At 42.3% G+C, this 18,807-nt stretch overlaps 1 protein-coding gene and 1 pseudogene across 8 annotated transcripts in view, besides 1 other annotated feature; both read left to right on the plus strand.

Moving 5' to 3' along the window:
* The window catches only part of BCAS3 (BCAS3 microtubule associated cell migration factor), a 714,981-nt gene that overhangs the window by 5,264 nt on the left and 690,910 nt on the right, over positions 1-18,807 (plus strand). For all 8 annotated transcript variants that reach the window (NM_001353144.2, NM_001353145.2, NM_001330413.2 and 5 more), the window contains exons 3-4: positions 868-922; positions 6,572-6,647. In NM_001353144.2, coding sequence (NP_001340073.1) covers positions 868-922; positions 6,572-6,647 — 131 coding nt within the window. The remainder of the gene's footprint in view (positions 1-867; positions 923-6,571; positions 6,648-18,807) is intronic.
* Positions 21-221: a silencer, noted in NCBI's record as "peak2931 fragment used in MPRA reporter construct". NCBI's record gives its function as "represses an SCP1 promoter by STARR-seq MPRAs in K562 erythroleukemia cells {active_cell/tissue: K562}" and the evidence as "EXISTENCE:reporter gene assay evidence [ECO:0000049][PMID:32103011]".
* RN7SL606P (RNA, 7SL, cytoplasmic 606, pseudogene) lies at positions 13,199-13,491 on the plus strand (annotated as a pseudogene).

Genomic DNA, 18,807 nt, shown 5'->3' on the forward strand with positions numbered 1-18,807 from the left:
TACCAAAAGTTCTGTAAAGGCTTAATAGCTTCTTCTAATGCCTGTATCTACCAGAAAATGTAGACTGACCTGCTATATACAGGTAAGGGACTAGGTTCATAACCAATTTAAGGAGAAGGTCACTAGATAGTGAGTCATCAGCAATAGTTTTACTTGCTCTAATTAGGGCATTCTTCTGCTCTGACTCAAGAGGAAGGTCCTACCTTAGGTCTCTGTCATCACTCCTCCAAATATGACTTAGAAGCTATCTCTATCAAATTAGGAGAGCATGACTTTTAAAAAGAGATAATGTTTAAAAATGTTAAAAGCCCATTTACATTTAATAACATATATAAAGACCCATGAAACGAGAAAGTAGTTTAGCAGAAATATCAGGTGATAAGAGTTAGCCTTTTTTTTTTTTTTTTTTTTTTTTTTTTTTTTTTTTTTTGCCTTTTTTGAATATTATGAGTGATGCCTGTAATCCCAGTACTTTGGAAGACTGAGGCGGGAGGATCGCTTGAGCTCAGAAGTTTGACACCAGCCTGGGCAACATGGTGAAACACCGTCTCTACAAAAAATACAAAAATTAGCTGGGCATGGTGGCGCATGTCTGTAGTCCCAGCTACTTGGGAGCCTGAGGTGGGAGGATTGCTTAAGCCCCGGAGGTCGAGGGAGCAGTGAGCCGAGATCGCACCACTACACTCCAGCCTGGGTGACAGAGTGAAACCTTGTCTCAAAACAAAACAAAACAAAACAAACAAAAAAACCCCAAAAAACAAACAACAACAAAAAACAAGTGACTTTATTAAGGCTTGTAAATAGAGCTTTTTTCATGTTCTATATTAAGCTCTCCTGACCAGTGTTGTCCATTTCACCCTTTTCCAGAGAGCAGTCCTACATGGAAAGTGTTGTGACTTTTCTGCAGGATGTTGTGCCACAGGTAAGTGTCTATATGTGCTTTCGCCTTTCCCTTTGGTCAGGAGAGCTCTGAAATGTTTGGTTTCCTAAACTTGACACTAGTACCAGCAACTTCCAAAAGGTTTTTGATGTTTTAGCATCCTGAGCATTCGTAGGGTGGGACTACATTATTGTTTAGATGTGCCGCAGTGTTGTGATGACAGTGGCATAAATATTATTCCTTAGGACTTTGCCTTCCTAAGAAGAATCAAGGTGAATTGTTAGTAGAGATTTGAGACCTGGGACTTTCTTTCTTAGGTTTCTATTTTCTTGTCCTATTTAAGTGTTGCCTGCCAGAAGGGAGAAAAGCAATATACACTCTGCACTCCTTAACTAGATATTAGCTAAGTATTGTACCTGAACACAAATCTACATCTCTTTTATATTGAGCAGCATTTTTATGCCAACTAAGGTATCCTGTTACTCTAACTGATAAAAGATTAAGTCTTTTACTGTTCCTTTTATATAAATATGAGAATAAAGAATGAGAATAGCCTTACTGGGATTATCTAGTATACTATTGCCAAACTTAACATAATTATCACTTGGCATACTTATTAAAAGTAATAATTTCCTCTCTCAGAGTCTTAACACAATTGATTTGGGATGGTAACTGGTAACTTGTAGCAATAGTAAGAATCTCAGGTGATTCTTATGAAATGGTACCTTTGGGAAGCACTGTTCTAGTGGGACTACTGAAGGGAAAGGTTTCCATACTTTCTCCTTATGGTTGTAGTCTTCCTTGACTACCATGGGTATGTGTAACTGGAGTGTTCAAAAAGGACATTCATAGATCCAGTGTCCCAGCTTTATGAGAGGATCCTAGAAAACACAGTGCCTTCAACCTGAAAAGCTGAGTGGGAAAAAAAGGAGAAAAGAAACAGTGTTATGGTAATATAGTAGAAGGAAAATTAAATTCAGTTGGAGGACATCAAAGAAGGCTTAATGAATGAGATGCCATCTGAATTGAGGAATAGAGTGGAATAAAATCCAACAATGATCAATTTAGTGAGAATGTAATGGGGACAACAGGATCCTAGTAGGTGTTTGCTTTATTTGGCAGAGAGGTTATAACTTAACATTTTGCACATTAGGCTTAGAGTAGCTTAGTGATTAAGAACATAGACTTTGGGCCGGGTGCGGTGGCTCACGCCTGTAATCCCAGCACTTTGGGAGGCTGAGGTCAGGAGTTCAAGACCAGCCTGACCAACATGGAGAAACCCCATCTCTACTAAAAATACAAAAATTAGCCGGGTGTGGTGGCGCATGCCTGTAATCCCAGCTACTCAGGAAGGCTGAGGCAGGAGAATCACTTGAACCCGGGAGGCGGAGGTTGCAGTGAGCTGAGATCGCATCATTGCACTCCAGCCTGGGCAATAAGAGTGAAACTCCGTCTCAAAAAAAAAAAAAAAAAAAAAGAACATAGTCTTTGATATTAGATCTGACTTTATATTTCAGCTCTGCATCTTACTAGTTTCAGACAAGTTACTGAACCTTTCTAAACATCAGTATCCTTATGTGTAAACTCGGGTTAATCATCTTATTCGTCATGGGTTTGTTTTGAGGCTTAAAGGGTGTCATGTATATAAAGCATAAAATAAAGCAAAGCAAATACTAAGTAGTCTTTCCTGGAGGGAGCTTGAGACTGGAGATCCAGGGTAGAGATGTAGATTTTTGGTGTACAATCGTAGTCGAAATAATCAGATGAGCCAGATACATTACAATTTCTAATTGTAATGGTGAGACGTCGTCATTTTAGCACCTACTGACCATAGGTTGCTTAGGAAAGCAATAATAGGAGTAACTTTTTGTTATATTAGACATTTTTTTTTTTTGAGACAGAGTCTCACTCTGTTCCCAGAGTGGAGTGCAGTGGCATGATCTTGGCTCACTGCAAGCTCTGCCTCCCGGGTTCATGCCATTCTGCTGCCTCAGCCTCCCGAGTAGCTGGGACTACAGGCGCCCACCGCCACACCTGTCTAATTTTTGTATTTTTAGTAGAGACGGGGTTTCACTGTGTTAGCTAGGATGGTCTCCATCTCCTGACCTTGTGATCTGCCTGCCTCGGCCTCCCAAAGTGCTGGGATTACAGGTGTGAGCCACCGCACCCGGCCTATGTTAGACATTTTTTCTACTGTTTGGTTGACATGAGAACAGTGCTTTCTAACATTTTTTTTCCCACATTTAATTCAGAGTCCTGCGTTGGTACTTTGTGGTCAGACATTAAAAAATAATGTTTTCTGCCAATATTGTGTTCTACCTCCTGCTCTATTCTGGGAATCATCAAATTCATGGAGCCTAGGTATTCTCTGGGTCTGCAAATATCCTCCTAAAGAGAGAACATGTGTTGTTGGACTGGTAGCAGCTTCTTTAGTTATCACTCATTGAATTCTAGTTGTGATAACATTGATGGATGGTAGTTGCCCTTGGCTGTGTCTTGATCTAATAATTTCACTTATGAAAATTTATTTATTTAATTTTTTTTTTTTGAGATGGAGTTTCACTCTTGTCGCCCAGGCTGGAGTGCAATGGCATAATCTCGGCTCACTGCAACCTCTGCCTACGAGTTTCAAGCGATTCTCCTGCCTCAGCCTCCTGAGTAGCTGGGATTGCAGGCATGTGCCAACACGCCCGGCCAATTTTTGTATTTTTAGTAGAAACGGGGTTTCACCATGTTAGCCAGGCTGGTCTTGAATTCCTGACCTCAGGTGATCCTCCTGCCTTGGCCTCGCAAAGTTCTGGGATTACAGGCGTGAGCCACTGCACCTGGCCGAAAATTTATTTTAAAAAATAATTCAACAAAGAAAAAGTTGAAGCTTAGAACTTTTCAGTATATATGAAATTTTTACATTTTCAGTGTAAAAACTTGTAACCAGCTTAAATGTCAATTAATAAGCAAATGATGATATATCATGGTCCCTATAGAATAATTTGCTATAAATAAAAATTATGGCAATAGTACACTATGGAAATTATTTTCTCTATAGTGAGCAAATAAGACAACATACAGAATGACACCTACAATGATTATAGCTATGTTATATAAAATTCAAAAATAACTTTGTACTTATCAGTGTGTGTAGTGTGTTAGAAACCAGTGTTGAAATATAAAAGAAGTAAATAAATCTTTTCAGTAGTGAGGTGAAAGTTTTGACTTTAAATAAGAGGGCTAAATCGGTTGCTCTTGTTTGAAGAAGGGCTTTTAATCAGTGCTGGGGGAAAAGGAAAAGTGTGGCAGTACACTGACCTCTATAAAGACATCAGGTGATCCTGGGTGTGGTGGCTCACACCTGTAATCCCAGCACTTTGGGAGGCCTAGGCGGGCAGATTGCTTGTGCCCAGGAGTACCAGACCAGCCTGAGCAACATGGTGAAACCCCATCTCTACAGAAAATACAAAAATTAGCTGGGTGTGGTGGTGCACACCTGTAGTCCCAGCTATTTGGGAGGCTGACATGGGTGGACCGTTTGAGCCCAGGAGGCGGAGGTTGCAGTGAGCTGAGATCATACCACTGCACTCCAGCCGGGGTGACAGAACCAGACCCTGTCTCGAGAAATACAAAAACAGAAACCCAAAAACAACTTTTTTTTTTTAAAGACATCAGGTGAAAGGTAGAAGGGCAATAGGTGAGTCTGTGTCTTACTGAGAATAAAATATCTAAGCATGGGAAAAGGAGATCATAAGAGGCAAAAAATGACGTGATTCACCTTTGTGCAAAGCTGTAGTAAGGAACACACGAAGCAGAGCTCAGGTGCTTCAGTTGTCTTCCCAGAATTTTCTCAAAAATTCTGAGTAAAAAACACCATGTCCACTAAGGAGAGAGGAAACTTGAAGACATAGTGAAAGCATATAAGCCTCATTTTGTAAGACTTATTTCCCCCTCACAGGGAAAGCAAAAAGAGGTTCAAGAATCCCAATACACTGAAAGACCTTCTTTGACCTTGTTTTGTTCTGCATATCACTCAGAAATCAAATGTCGCAAAGGAATAAGTCTGCTAAGCTGAAGAAGAATTTGAAAATGTTATTGCTTCACCACGTTAAAGGAAAGGAAAGCCTGATACAGGAAAAAAGGAAGTTGTCCTAAATGCAGGATAGCATCCTGGTTTGGATCCTGGAGCAGAGAAAGGACATTAGTGAGAAAGGTTGTGAAATCCAAATAATGTCTGGGGTTTAATAGTAATGCACCAGTGTTACTTTTGTAGTTTCGAGAAATGCAAATGTTAGATTTGATTAGATTAGATAATATTAGGGGAGAATTTTTTTTTTGAGACAGGGTCTTGCTCTCACCCAGGCTGGAGTACAGTGGCACTATCATGGCTCACTGCGGCCTCAATTTCCCAGATTCAGGTGATCCTCCCATCTCAGCCTCCCTGGTAGCTGGGACTACAGGTGCATGCCACCATGCCCAGATTTTTTTTCTGTAGAGATGAGGTTTCTCCATGTTGCCCAAGCTGGTGTTTTTTAAAAAAGGTATGTTAGGCAGGGCATGGTGGCTCACCTGTGTAATCCCAGCACTTTGGGATGCCGAGGCGGGGCGGATCACCTGAGGTCAGGAGTTCAAGACCAGCCTGGCCAACATGGTGAAACCCCGTCTCCACCAAAAAGACAAAAAATTAGCTGGGCGTGGTGGCACACGCCTATAGTTCCAGCTACTTGGGAGGCTGAGGCAGGAGAATCACTTGAACCCGGGAGGTGGAGGGTACAGTGAGCCAAAATCATGCCACTGCACTCCAGCCTGGGTGATAGAGTGAGACTCTGTCTCAAAAAAAAAAAAAAAGAAAGAAAAAAACATGCTTTATGGAGAGATGCCTCCTTTTGAATACTGTTGAATACTGTTGATACTTCATGCCATTAATGCTTGTCTTTTGATCCTTGCAGGCTTCCAGGAAGCAGCTGATAGGTTGGGTCTAGAAGCTTGATAAGAGACTAAAAAAGTACAGTAATACTCACACCAGTATAATTGCCACAAACACCTAGCACTTAATAGTTAAAGGTAGTAGTTGTGTTTGTTTTCTAAGCCTTATTTGTTGACCAGTATAGCGGATGGTTAGTCTTTCATTTGCCTTTGAATTATAGTAATGCTTCAAAATAGATTGTGATCATTGTATTTTAGGTTTCTGCAGTTCTTTTTTTTGTGGGGGACAGAGTCTTGCTCAGTCGCCTAGGCTGGAGTGCGGTGGCACGATCTCTGTTCATTGCAATCTCTGCCTTCCAGGTTTAAGTGATTCTCGTGTCTCAGCCTCCCCAGTAGCTGGAATTACAGGCATGTGCCACACCTCACCCAGCTAATTTTTGTGTTTTTAGTAGAGACAGAGTTTCGCCATGTTGGCCAGGCTGGTCTTGAACTCCTGGCCTCAAGTGGTCTGCCTGCCTTGGCCTCCCAAAGTGCTGAGATTACAGGTGCCTAGCCTGCAGTTCTTTTAATAAGTTAAAAACTCTTTTGACCAAGGTTATGAGACTCATGGATAATATTCTTTGGGGGTAATAATGTTCTAAAATATTCTAGTTACCAAGATGTAGGGTTGGTGAAGTTGGAGAGGTATAGTGTTGGCTTTAAGTCACTTTGTTTTGAACATCAGTAATATTAAAGCTGTAAAATATGTTTATTCAAATGTTTCTGTTTACTATGCAGGCTTACAGTGGAACACCTCTAACAGAAGAAAAGGAGAAAATAGTCTGGGTCAGATTTGAAAATGCAGATTTAAATGGTATGGTTTTAACTTTTTTTGGGACGTGTGAATTAATTGTTTGTTTGGAGTACCTGATTCCAAAAAGAGAGCCTCTACTTTAGTCAGATTACTTTCTCTTATAGTAATTTTTCAGTTTTCAAAATAAAAGGTAGCATAACCGCAGTACAGAAACTTTAGAACTAATATTGTGTAATAAGCCTTAAAGTAACTATAACACAGTGTGTAAGTGTTAAACTTTGATGAAGTTAAAGTGAGTTAAAATTTTCTTAGGCAGAAAAATGGTTTTCTTAAAAAAGGAGTTATTCAAGTTTGGTCAGTTATATAAGATTTATAACTGCAAAATAATCATTAGTGTTGAACTTTCTTGGCTTGAAAATTGTTTTTTTCTGAACAGAATTTTATGCTAGTCCAAGTACCTCATATAAGTGGAATCGTACAGTATTTGCCTTTTTGTAACTGGCTTATTTCACTTAGCATAGTGTCCTCAACGTTCATCTACATTGTAGCATAGGTCAGAATTTCCTTCCTTTTAAAGGCTGAATGAGGCAGGGCATAGTGGCTCACACCAGTAATCCCAGCACTTTGGGAGGTTGAGGCAGGAGGATCGCTTGATCTTAGGAGTTCAAGACCTGCCTGGGCAACATAGCGCGACCTTGTCTCTACAAAAACTTAAAAAATTAACTAGGCTTGGTGGTGTGTGCCTGTAGTTTCAGCTACTTGGGAGGCTGAGGTGGGAGGATTGCTTGAGCCTGGGAGGTCTAGGCTGCAGTGAGCCGAGATCGTGCCACTGCACTCCAGCCTGGGTGATGGAGTGCAACCCTGTCTAAAAATAAATAAATAAATACAGTTAAATAAGTAAGTAAATAAAAAAAAATCATTTATAAAAGGCTGGATGGGCTGAGCACTTTGGCTCATGCTTGCAGTCCCAGCACTTTGGGAGGCTGAGGTGGGAGGATCACATGAGGTCAGGAGTTCAAGACCAGCCTGGCCAACATGGTGAAACCTCGTCTCTACTAAAAATACAAAATTAGTCGGGCATAGTGGCACACTCCTGCAGCCCTAGCTGCTCAGGAAGCTGAGGCAGGAGAATCGCTTGAACCCAGGAGGTGGAGGCTGCAGTGAGCCGAGATTGTGCCACTGCATTCCAGCCTGGGCGACAGAGCGAGACTTTGTCTCAAAAAAACAAAAACAAAAACAAAAACAAAACAAAAGGGAGTCTCACTCTGTCGCCCAGGCTGGAGTGCAGTGGAATGATCTTGGCTTACTGCAACCTGCGCCTCCTGGGTTCAGGTGATTCTCCTGTCTCAGCCCCCTGAGTAGCTGGGATTACAGGTGCTCGCCATCACGCCCAGCTAATTTTTGTATTTTTAGTAGAGACGAGGTTTCACCATGTTGGTTAGGCTGGTCTCAATCTCCTGACCTCAGGTAATTCACCTGCCTCGGCCTCCCAAAGTGCTGGGATTACAGGTGTGAGCCACTGCGCCCAGCCTCCTATCTCTTTGAGACTCTACTTTTGAGAATTGCTGGCTTATATAGTAATGCTGTTTTTAATGTTTTGAGGAACCACCATGGTTTTCCTCAGTGAACGTACCATTTTTCATTCCCACCAACAATGTACAAGGGTCCCAACTTCTCCACACCCTTTCCAACACTTGTTAGTTTCCTCTCTCTCTCTCTCTCTCTTTTTGGTAGTAGCCATCCTAATGGGACTGGGTTGTGGTTTTGATTTGGATTTTCCTGATGATTAGTAATGTTTAGCATCTTTTTATGTGCTTATTGGCCATTCATTTAGCTTCTTTGGAGAAATGGCTCTTCATGTCCATTGCCCATTTTTTAATTGTTTTTGTTTGTTTATTTAGTTTTAGGAGTTTTCTAAATATCCTGGGTATTAATTCCTTATTAGATATATGATTTAACAATATTTTCTCCTATCCTGTGAGTTGCCTTTTCCTTAAAGACTTTTCAAATATGAAGCCTTTTTTTTTTTTTAGAGCCACCATCCACGATGAGAAAGTCTGAGTGTCGCTTTTACAGATTGGTTTCATTTGAATTTTGGACTCTCTATTAGCTTATTCTTTCAAATAATAACAATTTGTTGGGTCCTCTTTATGGAGAGTAAAACATTAGTTTTTAAGGGTGATTGTTTATGATATCCATGACAAATATTTTTTGAAATTTTTTTCATTTTGGAACATTACAGTGACTGAAATTAGAAGTAGAAGCAGTAAAGCCCCACCCAGAGTTTGCAGTGAGCCGAGAACATGCCATTGCACTCCAGCTTGGGGGCAACAAGAGTGAAACTCTGTCTCAAAAAAAAAAAAAAATGGAGAAACACAGAAGAAAAAGTGGATTGGTCATTTCAAAGTTATTTCCCTTACCAGCTGTCAACAAAGAAACAAAACAATAGAGAAATAACTGATTGGTTAACATCAGGTTACTTCAGGTTATCTTTTGTTCTAAAGATTAAAACAGAGGGAACTTTATTTTATTTTATTGATATATTTATTTATTTTTGAGATGGAGTCTCTCTCTGTCACCCAGGCTGGAGTGCACCCAGGCGCGATCTCAGCTCACTGCAAGCTTCGCCTCCTGGGTTCACACCATTCTTCTGCCTCAGCCTCCCAAGTAGCTGGGACGACAGGCACCCGCCACCATGCCCGACTAATTTTTTTTGTATTTTAGTAGAGACGGGGTTTCATCATGTTAGCCAGGATGGTCTCGATCTCCTGACCTCGTGATCCGCCCGTCTTGGCCTCCCAAAGTGCTGGGATTACAGGCGTGAGCTACCATGCCTGGTGAAACAGAGGGAACTTTATTATCATGCATGTTGAATATTGAAACAGGACTCCTTGGCCAGGTGCTCACCTGTAGTCCCAGCTACTCAGGAGGCTGAGGCAGGAGAATCACTTGAACCCAGGAGGCGGAGGTTGTAGTGGGCTGAGATGTCACCACTGCACTTCAGCCTGGGCAACAGAGCGAGACTCCATCTCAAAAAAAAAAAAAATTAGCTGGAGTGGTGGCATGTACCTGTAATCCCAGCTATTCGGGAGGCTGAGGAGGAGAATCGTTTGAACCCAGGAGGTGGAGGTTACAATGAACCAAGATCGCGCCACTGCACTCCAGCCTGGGCGACAGAGAGATATCCTTTCTCAAAAAAAGAAAAAAGAAAGAAAAGTTCCATGTCACCAAACTGAAACTAAGTTGTTATCTGACCTTAGGAGAAATCAGAAAAGAGACATAACAGCCAATTTCCCAAGGAGAATCGCTTGAACGCAGGAGGTGGAGGTTGCCCGGCTAATTTTTTGTATTTTTAGGAGAAACAGGGTTTCACCATGTTGGCCAGGCTGATCTTGAACTCCTGACCTCAGGTCATCTGCCCGCTTTGGCCTCCCAAAGTGCTGGGATTACAGGCATGAGCCACTGACTTGATTTATACCCAGGCTTGTTTCTCTCAAGACACTACACTGAGAAAGGTATAAGTAGCCAAAGCAGTTTAATATTCTGACATTTTTCTGTCAAATTCTCTAAAGGTGAGAATATAGTTTGAATCCCAGACTACATCAGATCAAATTGATGCTGGTTTACTCTAGTATAATGGGAATTGCTTTCTAGCCTGTGCAGTGAAATTCTTACTATCCCCTAATCCCATACTTCATACTTGGCCAGTTTTTGTATTTTTTTTTTTGACAGAGTCTCACTTTTTCACCCAGGCTGGAGTGCAGTGGCCTGAACTTGAACTTGGCTCACTGCAGCCCCGACCTTCTGGGCTCAAGCAATCCTCCCACCTCAGCCTCCTTAGTAGCTTGGACCACAGGCATGTACCACTATGCCTGGCTAATTTTTTGACTTTTTGTAGTTGGGGTCTCACCATGTTCCCTAAACTGGTCTCAAACTCCTGGGCTCAAGCAGTCCTCCTACCTTTACCTCATAAAGTACTGGGATTGCAGGTGTGAGCTACTATGCCCGGCATGGCCAGTTCTAATATCAAGGTCTAGTACTATATTTGAGTGTTGGATTTCATGTTCAACAGGCCCTTTTTTTCAGTTGCAAGTAATTGTTTTAAGTAAAAAAGGGAATTATTTTTTTTTAATTTTGGAAAAATATAGCATAAAATTTACCATTTTAACCATTAAAAATTTTAATTTTTTTTTTTTTTTTTTGAGATGGAGTCTTGCTCTGTCTCCCAGGCTGGAGTGCAGTGGCGTGATCTTGGCTCACTGCAAGCTCCACCTCCTGGGTTCATGTCATTCTCCTGCCTCAGCCTCTCGAGTAGCTGGGACTACAGGCACCTGCCACCATGCCCGGCTAATTTTTTGTATTTTTTAGTAGAGACGGGGTTTCACCATGTTAGCCAGGATGGTCTCGATCTCCTGACCTCATGATCTGCCCGCTTCGGCCTTCCAAAGTGCTGGGATTACAGGCGTGAGCCACCGCGCCCGGCCAAACATTTTAATTTTTAAAAAAATTATTGATTATTGGCTGGGCGTGGTGGCTCATGCTTGTAATCCCAACACTTTGGGAGGCTGAGGTGAGCAGATCACAAGGTCAAGAGATCAGGATCATCCTGACCAACATGGTGAAACCCCATCTTTACTAAAAAAACAAAAATTAGCTGGGCGTGGTGGCATGCGCCTGTAGTCACAGCTACTTGGGAGGCTGAGGCAGGAGAATTGCTTGAACACAGGAGGTGGAGGATGCAACAAGCCGAGACTGTGCCACTGCACTCCAGCCTGGTGACAGAGTGAGATTCCATCTCAAAAAAAAAAAATTTATTGATCATTAAAAATTGAGACAAGGTCTCACTGTGTTGCCTAGGTGTCGAACTTCTGGGCTCAAGCCATCCTTCTGTCTCAGCCTCCGAAAGTGTTGGGATTTTAGGCGTGAGCCACCATGCATGGTCTTAATTTTTTTTTTTTTTTTGGTAGAGATGAGGTGTTGCTGTGTTGCCCAGGCTGATCTTAAACTCAAGTGATCCTCCCACCTCGGTGTCCCAAAGTGCTGGGATTGCATGTGTGGGCAACAATGGCCATCATCATTTTAAAGTATATTGTCAGTATTGTTAAATAATTTACATTGTCGTACAACCAGTCTTCAGAATTCTTCATTGTGCAAAACTGAAACTCTGTACCCATTGCACAACAACTCCACAGTCTCTACCTCCTCCCAGCCCCTGGCAACCACCACTCTACTTTCTGTTTCTATGATTTTTAACTACTTTAGGGACCTCACATGGGTAGAATGATAGATTATTTGCCTTTTTGTGATTACCTATTTCACTTAACATAATGTTCTCAAGGTTCATTCATGTTGTAGCATGTGTCAGAATTTTCTTCCTTTTTAAGGCTGAATCATGCTTCATTGTATGTATATACCACATTTTTTTTTTTTTTTTTTTGAGATGGAGTCTCGCTCTGTCACCCAGGCTGGAGTGCAGTGGCGTGATCTCAGCTCACTGAAACCTCCATCTCCCAGGTTCAAGCGATTCTCCTGCCTCGGCCTCCTTAGCATCTGGGACTACAGGCGTGCGCCATCACACCTAGCTAATTTTTGTATTTTTGTAGAGACGGGGTTTCATCATGTTGGCCAGGATGGTCTCTTGACCTCGTGATCTGCCCACCTCGGCCTCCCAAAGTGTTGGGATTGCAGGTGTGAGCCACCGCGCCCAGCCCTGTACCACATTTTATTTTATTCATTCATTTATTGAAAGACATTTGTGTTGCTTCTACCTTTTGGCTTTGGGAACAATGCTGTAATGAACATGGGTGTACAAATATCTCTTCTAGTGGAATTGTTGTATCATATGGTAATTCTTTTTTAAATTTTTTGAGGAACCACCATACTGTTTTCCATAGAAGATTTAAAATTTTATTTTTAGAGACAAGTCTTGCTGTGTCATTCAGGGTGGAATGCAGTGAAATGATCACAGCTCACTGCAACTTTGAACTGCTGGGCTCATATGATCCTCCTGCCTTAGCCTCCCAAGTAGCTAGCACTATAGGCACATGCCACCATGCCCAGCTTATTTTTAAATTTTTTGTAGAGATGAGGTCTTGCTATGTTGCCCAGGCTGATCTTGAACTACTGGCCTCAAGGAATCCTCCTGCCTCAGCCTCCTAAAGTGCTGGGATACAGGCATGAGCCACTGTACTTGGGCTCATAGGGGATTTAAAAATAATCTACTCATGGATCTGGGAAAGATTGGGGCTTCATACTTTTAATCTTTGTCCACTTCTTGTCACTACTTCTTTCTGAATGTTTGCATCTCTTCTTTGACTTCTTTAACAAAGAGACAGTTGGTGCAGTGGTTACTCAAAGCTCTTTATTCATACCTTTATGATTATATGATACAATCAAAGAGGAAAAAGTATTCATTAGGAGATCCAGATGGCTCAGTCTGAGTCACTCTCCCATTATTGGAATAGTTGCTGTGGCCAAGGATGTAGTACTAGAATTGCTCAGCTGGTCATGTGCCTATCCCTGTGCTTGATGGAGGATAAGATTAGTTACCAGAATAGAGGGAGTTACAGAGTAGAAAGTGTGTGAGGTACACAAAGGTAATAGCTGCTACAGCTGGGCACAGTTGCATGCACCTGTAGTCCCAGCTGCTCAGGAGGCTGAGGTAGGAGAATCGCTCGAGTCCAGGAGTTCTGAGCTATAATGTGCTATGCCGATTGGGTGTCTGCACTAAGTTCAGCATCAATATGGTGACTTCCCAGGAGTGGGGAACTACCAGGTTGCCTAAGGAGGGGTGAACCAGCCCAGTTCAGAAACAGTTAAAACTCCCATGCTGATGAGTAGTGAAACTGCATCAGTGAACAGCCACTGCAGTCCAGCCTGGGCAACATAGTGAGACCCCATCTCTAAAAGAAAATGCTGCTATCAGCTTCTATTGCTTTAGAAGCTTGGGTCCCTTAGCTACCTGAAGATGCCTCCTAGACATCCTCACATAGATGTCCCACAGATGCCTCAAACTCTGATTTCTTTTCCCATCTAATTGTCTCTCCTTAGCAGCTGTGCACTGACCCTATTTACCTTTCAGGTCATTAAAGCCACAGAACTTTTCATGCCTCAGGATCTTTGCAAAGGGGACCCTCTAGGTGAAATGTTATTTTCTGCCCCTATCATTATTTACCTTTTAGAGTGTACAAAAATGACTTGAAAGGCTGGGCGCGGTGGCTCATGCCTGTAATCCCAGGACTTTGGGAGGCCAAGACGGGTAGATCACTTGAGCCCAGGAGTTCAAGACCAGCCTGGGCAACATGGCAAAACCCCATCTCTACAAAAAAATATTAAAAAATTAGCTGGGTATGGTGGTATGTCCCTGTAGTCCTACCTACTCGAGAGGCTGAGGTGGGAGGATTGCTTCAGCCCAGGAGGTCGAGGCTTCAGCAGGCTGTGTTTGTGTCACTGCGCTTCAGACTGGGTGACAGGGCAAGACCCTACCTCTGAATGAATGAATGAATAAATGAGGGAGGGAAGGAGGGAAGGGAGGAAGGAAAAGAAAGAAGCAGGTTTGGGAAGAAAGATTCAGTTTTGGCTGGGCGTGGTGGCTCATGCCTGTAATCCCAGTGCTTTGGGAGGCCGAGGCAGGTGGATCTCCTGAGGTCAAGAGTTCAAGACCAGCCTGGCCAACATGGTGAAACCCCGTCTCTACTAAAAATACAAAATAAATAAATAAATAACTAAAAAATAAGCTGGGCATGGTGGCAGGTGCCCGTAATCCCAGCTACTTGGGAGGCTGAGGCAAGAGAATTGCTTGAAGCCAGGAGGTGGAGGTTGCAGTGAGCTGAGATTGCACCACTGCACTCCAGCCTGGGTGACAGAGTGAGACTCTGTCTCAAAAAAAAAAAAAAAAAAAAAGATTCGGTTTCACTTTACACCTTGACTTTTGAGGTGTGAATAGAAATCCAGTATCCCTATCCTCCCACCAGTTGCAAACAGTCTTCTAAGGAGGGAGAGTATACTGAGTGCAGTCATGGAAGATTCACAGATAAGTTAAGACTGGACAAGGTTTTGAAGGATGGGTGAATCAAAGGAAGGGAGGACATTGTAGTTGGCTGAAACCATGCAAGAATGCTAGATGTCTCTATAGGAAAGACCGTAAAGTTCAGATTTAGAGGTAGAATAAGAAAAAAGAAGCCAGTAAAGAAAATAGGCCGGGTACGATGGCTCACGCCTGTAATCCCAGCACTTTGGGAGGCTGGGGCAGGCAGATCACGAGGTCAGGAGATTGAGACCATCCTGGCTAACACGGTAAAACCCCGTCTCTACTAAAAATACAAAAAATTAGCCAGGCGTGGTGACGGGCGCCTGTAGTCCCAGCTACTCGGGAGGCTGAGGCAGAAGAATGGTGTGAACCTGGGAGGCAGAGCTTGCAGTGAGCTGAGCCGAGATTGCACCGCTGCACTGGCCTGGGTGACAGAGCGAGACTCCGTCTCACAAAAAAAAAAAAAAAAAAAAAAGAGCAGCAGTGGAGAAAATAAATAGTGATTCTATGATAGAGGATATAAAATGAAAGGAAAGCCAAGGAAAAAGGATTTACTTAAATGTATAATAACTTTGAGGAATAATATAACATTTCTACAAAATTAAGGTTTTTGTTCAAGAACAATAAAGTCTGGCCAGGCCTGGTGGCTTATGCCTGTAATCCAGCACTTTGGGAGGTTGAGGCAAGAGTACTGCTTGAGCCCAGGAGTTCGAGACCAGTCTGGGCAACACAGTGAAACTCTGTCTGTATTTACAAAAAGAAATAATAATAAAAGAAATCTGCTGTATCACCACCATCCAGAGAAAGTGACTAAGTGAAATCTAAAATAAGAAAAAGGAGATTTTGTATATATTATGACCTCAGGGGTTTTATGTGTGGCATTTGAACCTGGGATCAAGATGGTACTTGTGGTAGAAAGATGATTGGATTGAGTATCAAAAAGCCCTAAGATTTCTCATTCAGTTATGAGTAAAGTATACCTAACTTGTTTTTGCCAATGATAAAATGAAGTTGACCTCTCTGCATATAAAAAAGGATTCCAGGGCCAGGCACAGTGGCTCACGCCTGTAATCCCAGCACTTTGGGAGGCTGAGGCAGGTGGATCACCTGAGGTCAGGAGTTCAAGACCAGCCTGGCCAACATGGTGAAACCCCATCTTTACTAAGTAATACAAAAATTAGCTGGGTGTGGTGGTGGGCATCTGTAATCCCAGCTGCTTGGGAGACTGAGGTGGAGAGAATTGCTTGAACCTGGGAGGCAGAGGTTGCAGTGAGCCAAGACTGCATCACTACACTCTAACCTTAGTGACAGAGCGAGACTCCGTCTCAAAGAAAACAAAAACAGAACAAAAAACAAAACAAGAACAACAAAAAAACAGGATTCCGTCTCAAAAATAAATAAAACAGAATTGATATGTCAGATTTGATGATGTACACAAAAGCACATAGAAACTTATAAAACACCATTTGTTTATTTATTTATTTACTTATTTATTTATTTATGAGACAGAGTCTCACTCTGTCCCTTAGGCTGGAGTATAGTGACACAATCTTGACTCACTGCAACATCCGCCTCCTGGGTTCAAGCAGTCCTCTTGCCTCAGCCTCTCCAGTAGCTAGGATTACAAGCATGCACCATCACGCCCAGCTAATTTTTGTATTTTTAGTAATTTTTGTATTTTAGTTTCAGCATTTTGGCCTGGCTGGTCTTGAACTTCTGACCTCAAGTGATCTGCCCACCTCAGCCTCCCAAAGTGTTGGGATTACAGGCGTGAGCCACCACGCCCAGCCAAAAACACCATTTGAATGTCAGGTGTAAAAATAATTATGCCCTAGGTACATAAGTTTATAATTCTGAATTTTGCTGGATATGGAATCATGTACTATTAACATGGCAACAGTGAATTCCTGTCAAAAGAAAATGGGCATTAAAGAATTACTGATGTATTAGCCATTTAATAATTTTGATTTTTATCTTTGAGAATAGGAAGTCATTAATACGGGAGATGGAGGTAAAGAGGTATGTCATTATTGGTGTTTTAAAAAGAGCAGTTGGCTGGGAGGTAGGGATTGCAGTGAGCCGAGATCGAGCCACTGCACTCCAGCCTGGGCGACAGAGCAAGACTCCGTCTCAAAAAAAAAAAAAAAAAAAGAGCAGTTTTGGCTGGGCTTGGTGGTTCACACCTGTAATCTCAGCACTTTGGAAGGCCAAGGTGGAGGACTGTTTGAGGTCAGAAGTTTGAGACCAGCCTGGGCAACAGAGTGAAATCCCATCTCTACAAAAAAATTAAAAAAGTAGCCAGGCATGGTGGCACGTCCCTATGGTCCCAGCTACATGGGAGGCTGAGGCAAGAGGATTCCTCGAGCCCAGGAGGTTGAGGCTGTAGTGAGTCATGTTTGTGTCATTGTACTCCAGTTTGGACAACAGAGTGAGACCCTGTCTCAAAAAAAAAAAAGAAGCAGTTCAACTCTTACGTGAAGTTTGGTGAGCAGTGGTGGAAGCAGGAAGCCATGTATGCTTTTGGAGTAGCTGTTGTAGCTTAGACAGGGTGGTGGTGGTGTAAGAGGAATGAAGAGAACTGTTTAGGAAGACACAGGGACTTGGGATAGATTTACTGGTATAGGTGAGGAAGAAAGTGGTTCCTGGCTTTGCCAATGGGGTAATGATGCTTTTCACCAAAATAAGGGACCCTGGAGGAAAATCAGGCTTGGTGAGGAAGTCATGATCTTTGAGTGGAGTTTGCACTCCTGTGGAGACATCCAAACTCTATATTGAGGAAGTCACTAGCAGATACTAGTTGAAGTAATGGGTGGAATGAGTTAACCTAGGAGAGGATATATGGTAAGAAATGGAAATTTAGAAATTGGTTTTGAGTAACTCCAATATTTAGAGACTAGGTAGAAAAGAATGCTCCAGCAGAGAGAATGGTGAAGGAGTGACTAGAGAAAGTGAAGAAAAGTTAGAGGATTATCCCTGAAAGACCAAGGGAGAGTATTTTAAGGAATAAATGGTGACCATTGGTTCTAGTTGCTGCGCAGTCTAAAAAGATGTGCTTGAAAATTATCTATTGGATTGAACAACTTAGAGATTATTGGTGACCATTAGTGGTGACCAGAAATGGGAGGAGTGTTAGGGACATTCTGAAGTGGGTTTGGGGTAAATGTTAGATGAAAAATAATGACAGTTGTGAATAACCCAATTAAGGAATTTAGCTTCTAGAAGGAGAGGGGAGGCTGGGTGTGGTGGCTGACATCTGTAATCCCAGCACTTTGGGAGGCTGAGGTGGGCAGATCACTTGAGGTCAGGAGTTTGAGACCAGCCTGGCTAACATGGCAAGACCCCGCCTCTACTAAAAATACAAAAATTAGCCAGGCGTGGTGACGCACATCTGTAATTCCAGCTACTCAGGAGGCTGAGGCACTAGAATCGCTTTAACTGGGGAGGCGGAGGTTGCAGTGAGCCGAGATCACACCACTGCACTCCAGCCTGGGTGATGGAGTGAGTCTGTCTCCAAAAAAAAAATAAATAAATAAAAGTCGGAGAGGAGAGCGATGAAATCAAGTCGAGGAAGAGGAATGTTTATTGCTTTATGATTTTGGAAAACATTTATTGTACAAAATATGGCAAATAACACAAAAGTATAGATTAGTGAATGAGTTTTTACAAATCCAATGCTTATGTAACCAACACCAAAAAAATAGAATATAGTTGACCCTTTAATAATGTGGGTTTGAACTGTGCGGGTCCACTTTAGTTATACCCAAACTTTTTGGAATAAATACATTGGAAAATTTTTTGGAGATTTGTGTGACACTTTGACAAAACTTGCAGATGAACCACATAGCCTAGAAACATCAAAAAAATTAAGAAAAAGATATGTCATGAATGCATAAGATGTATAGATACTAACCTATTTTATCATTTACTATAAAATATACACAAATCTAGGCCAGGCACGGTGGCTCACGCCTGTAATCCCAGTACTTTGGGAGGCCGAGGCAGGTGGATCATTTGAGGTCAGGAGTTCAGGACTAGCCTGGCCAATGTGGTGACACTCCATCTCTACTAAAAATACAAAAAAAAAAAAAAAAGAAAAAGCCAGGCGTGGTGGCACACGCCTGTAATCCCAGCTTCTTGGGAGACTGAGGCAGGAGATGCGCTAGAGCCCAGGAGGTGGAGGTTGCAGTGAGC

Source organism: Homo sapiens, chromosome 17 (genome assembly GCF_000001405.40).
Source record: "Homo sapiens chromosome 17, GRCh38.p14 Primary Assembly".
NCBI lineage: Eukaryota > Metazoa > Chordata > Mammalia > Primates > Hominidae > Homo > Homo sapiens.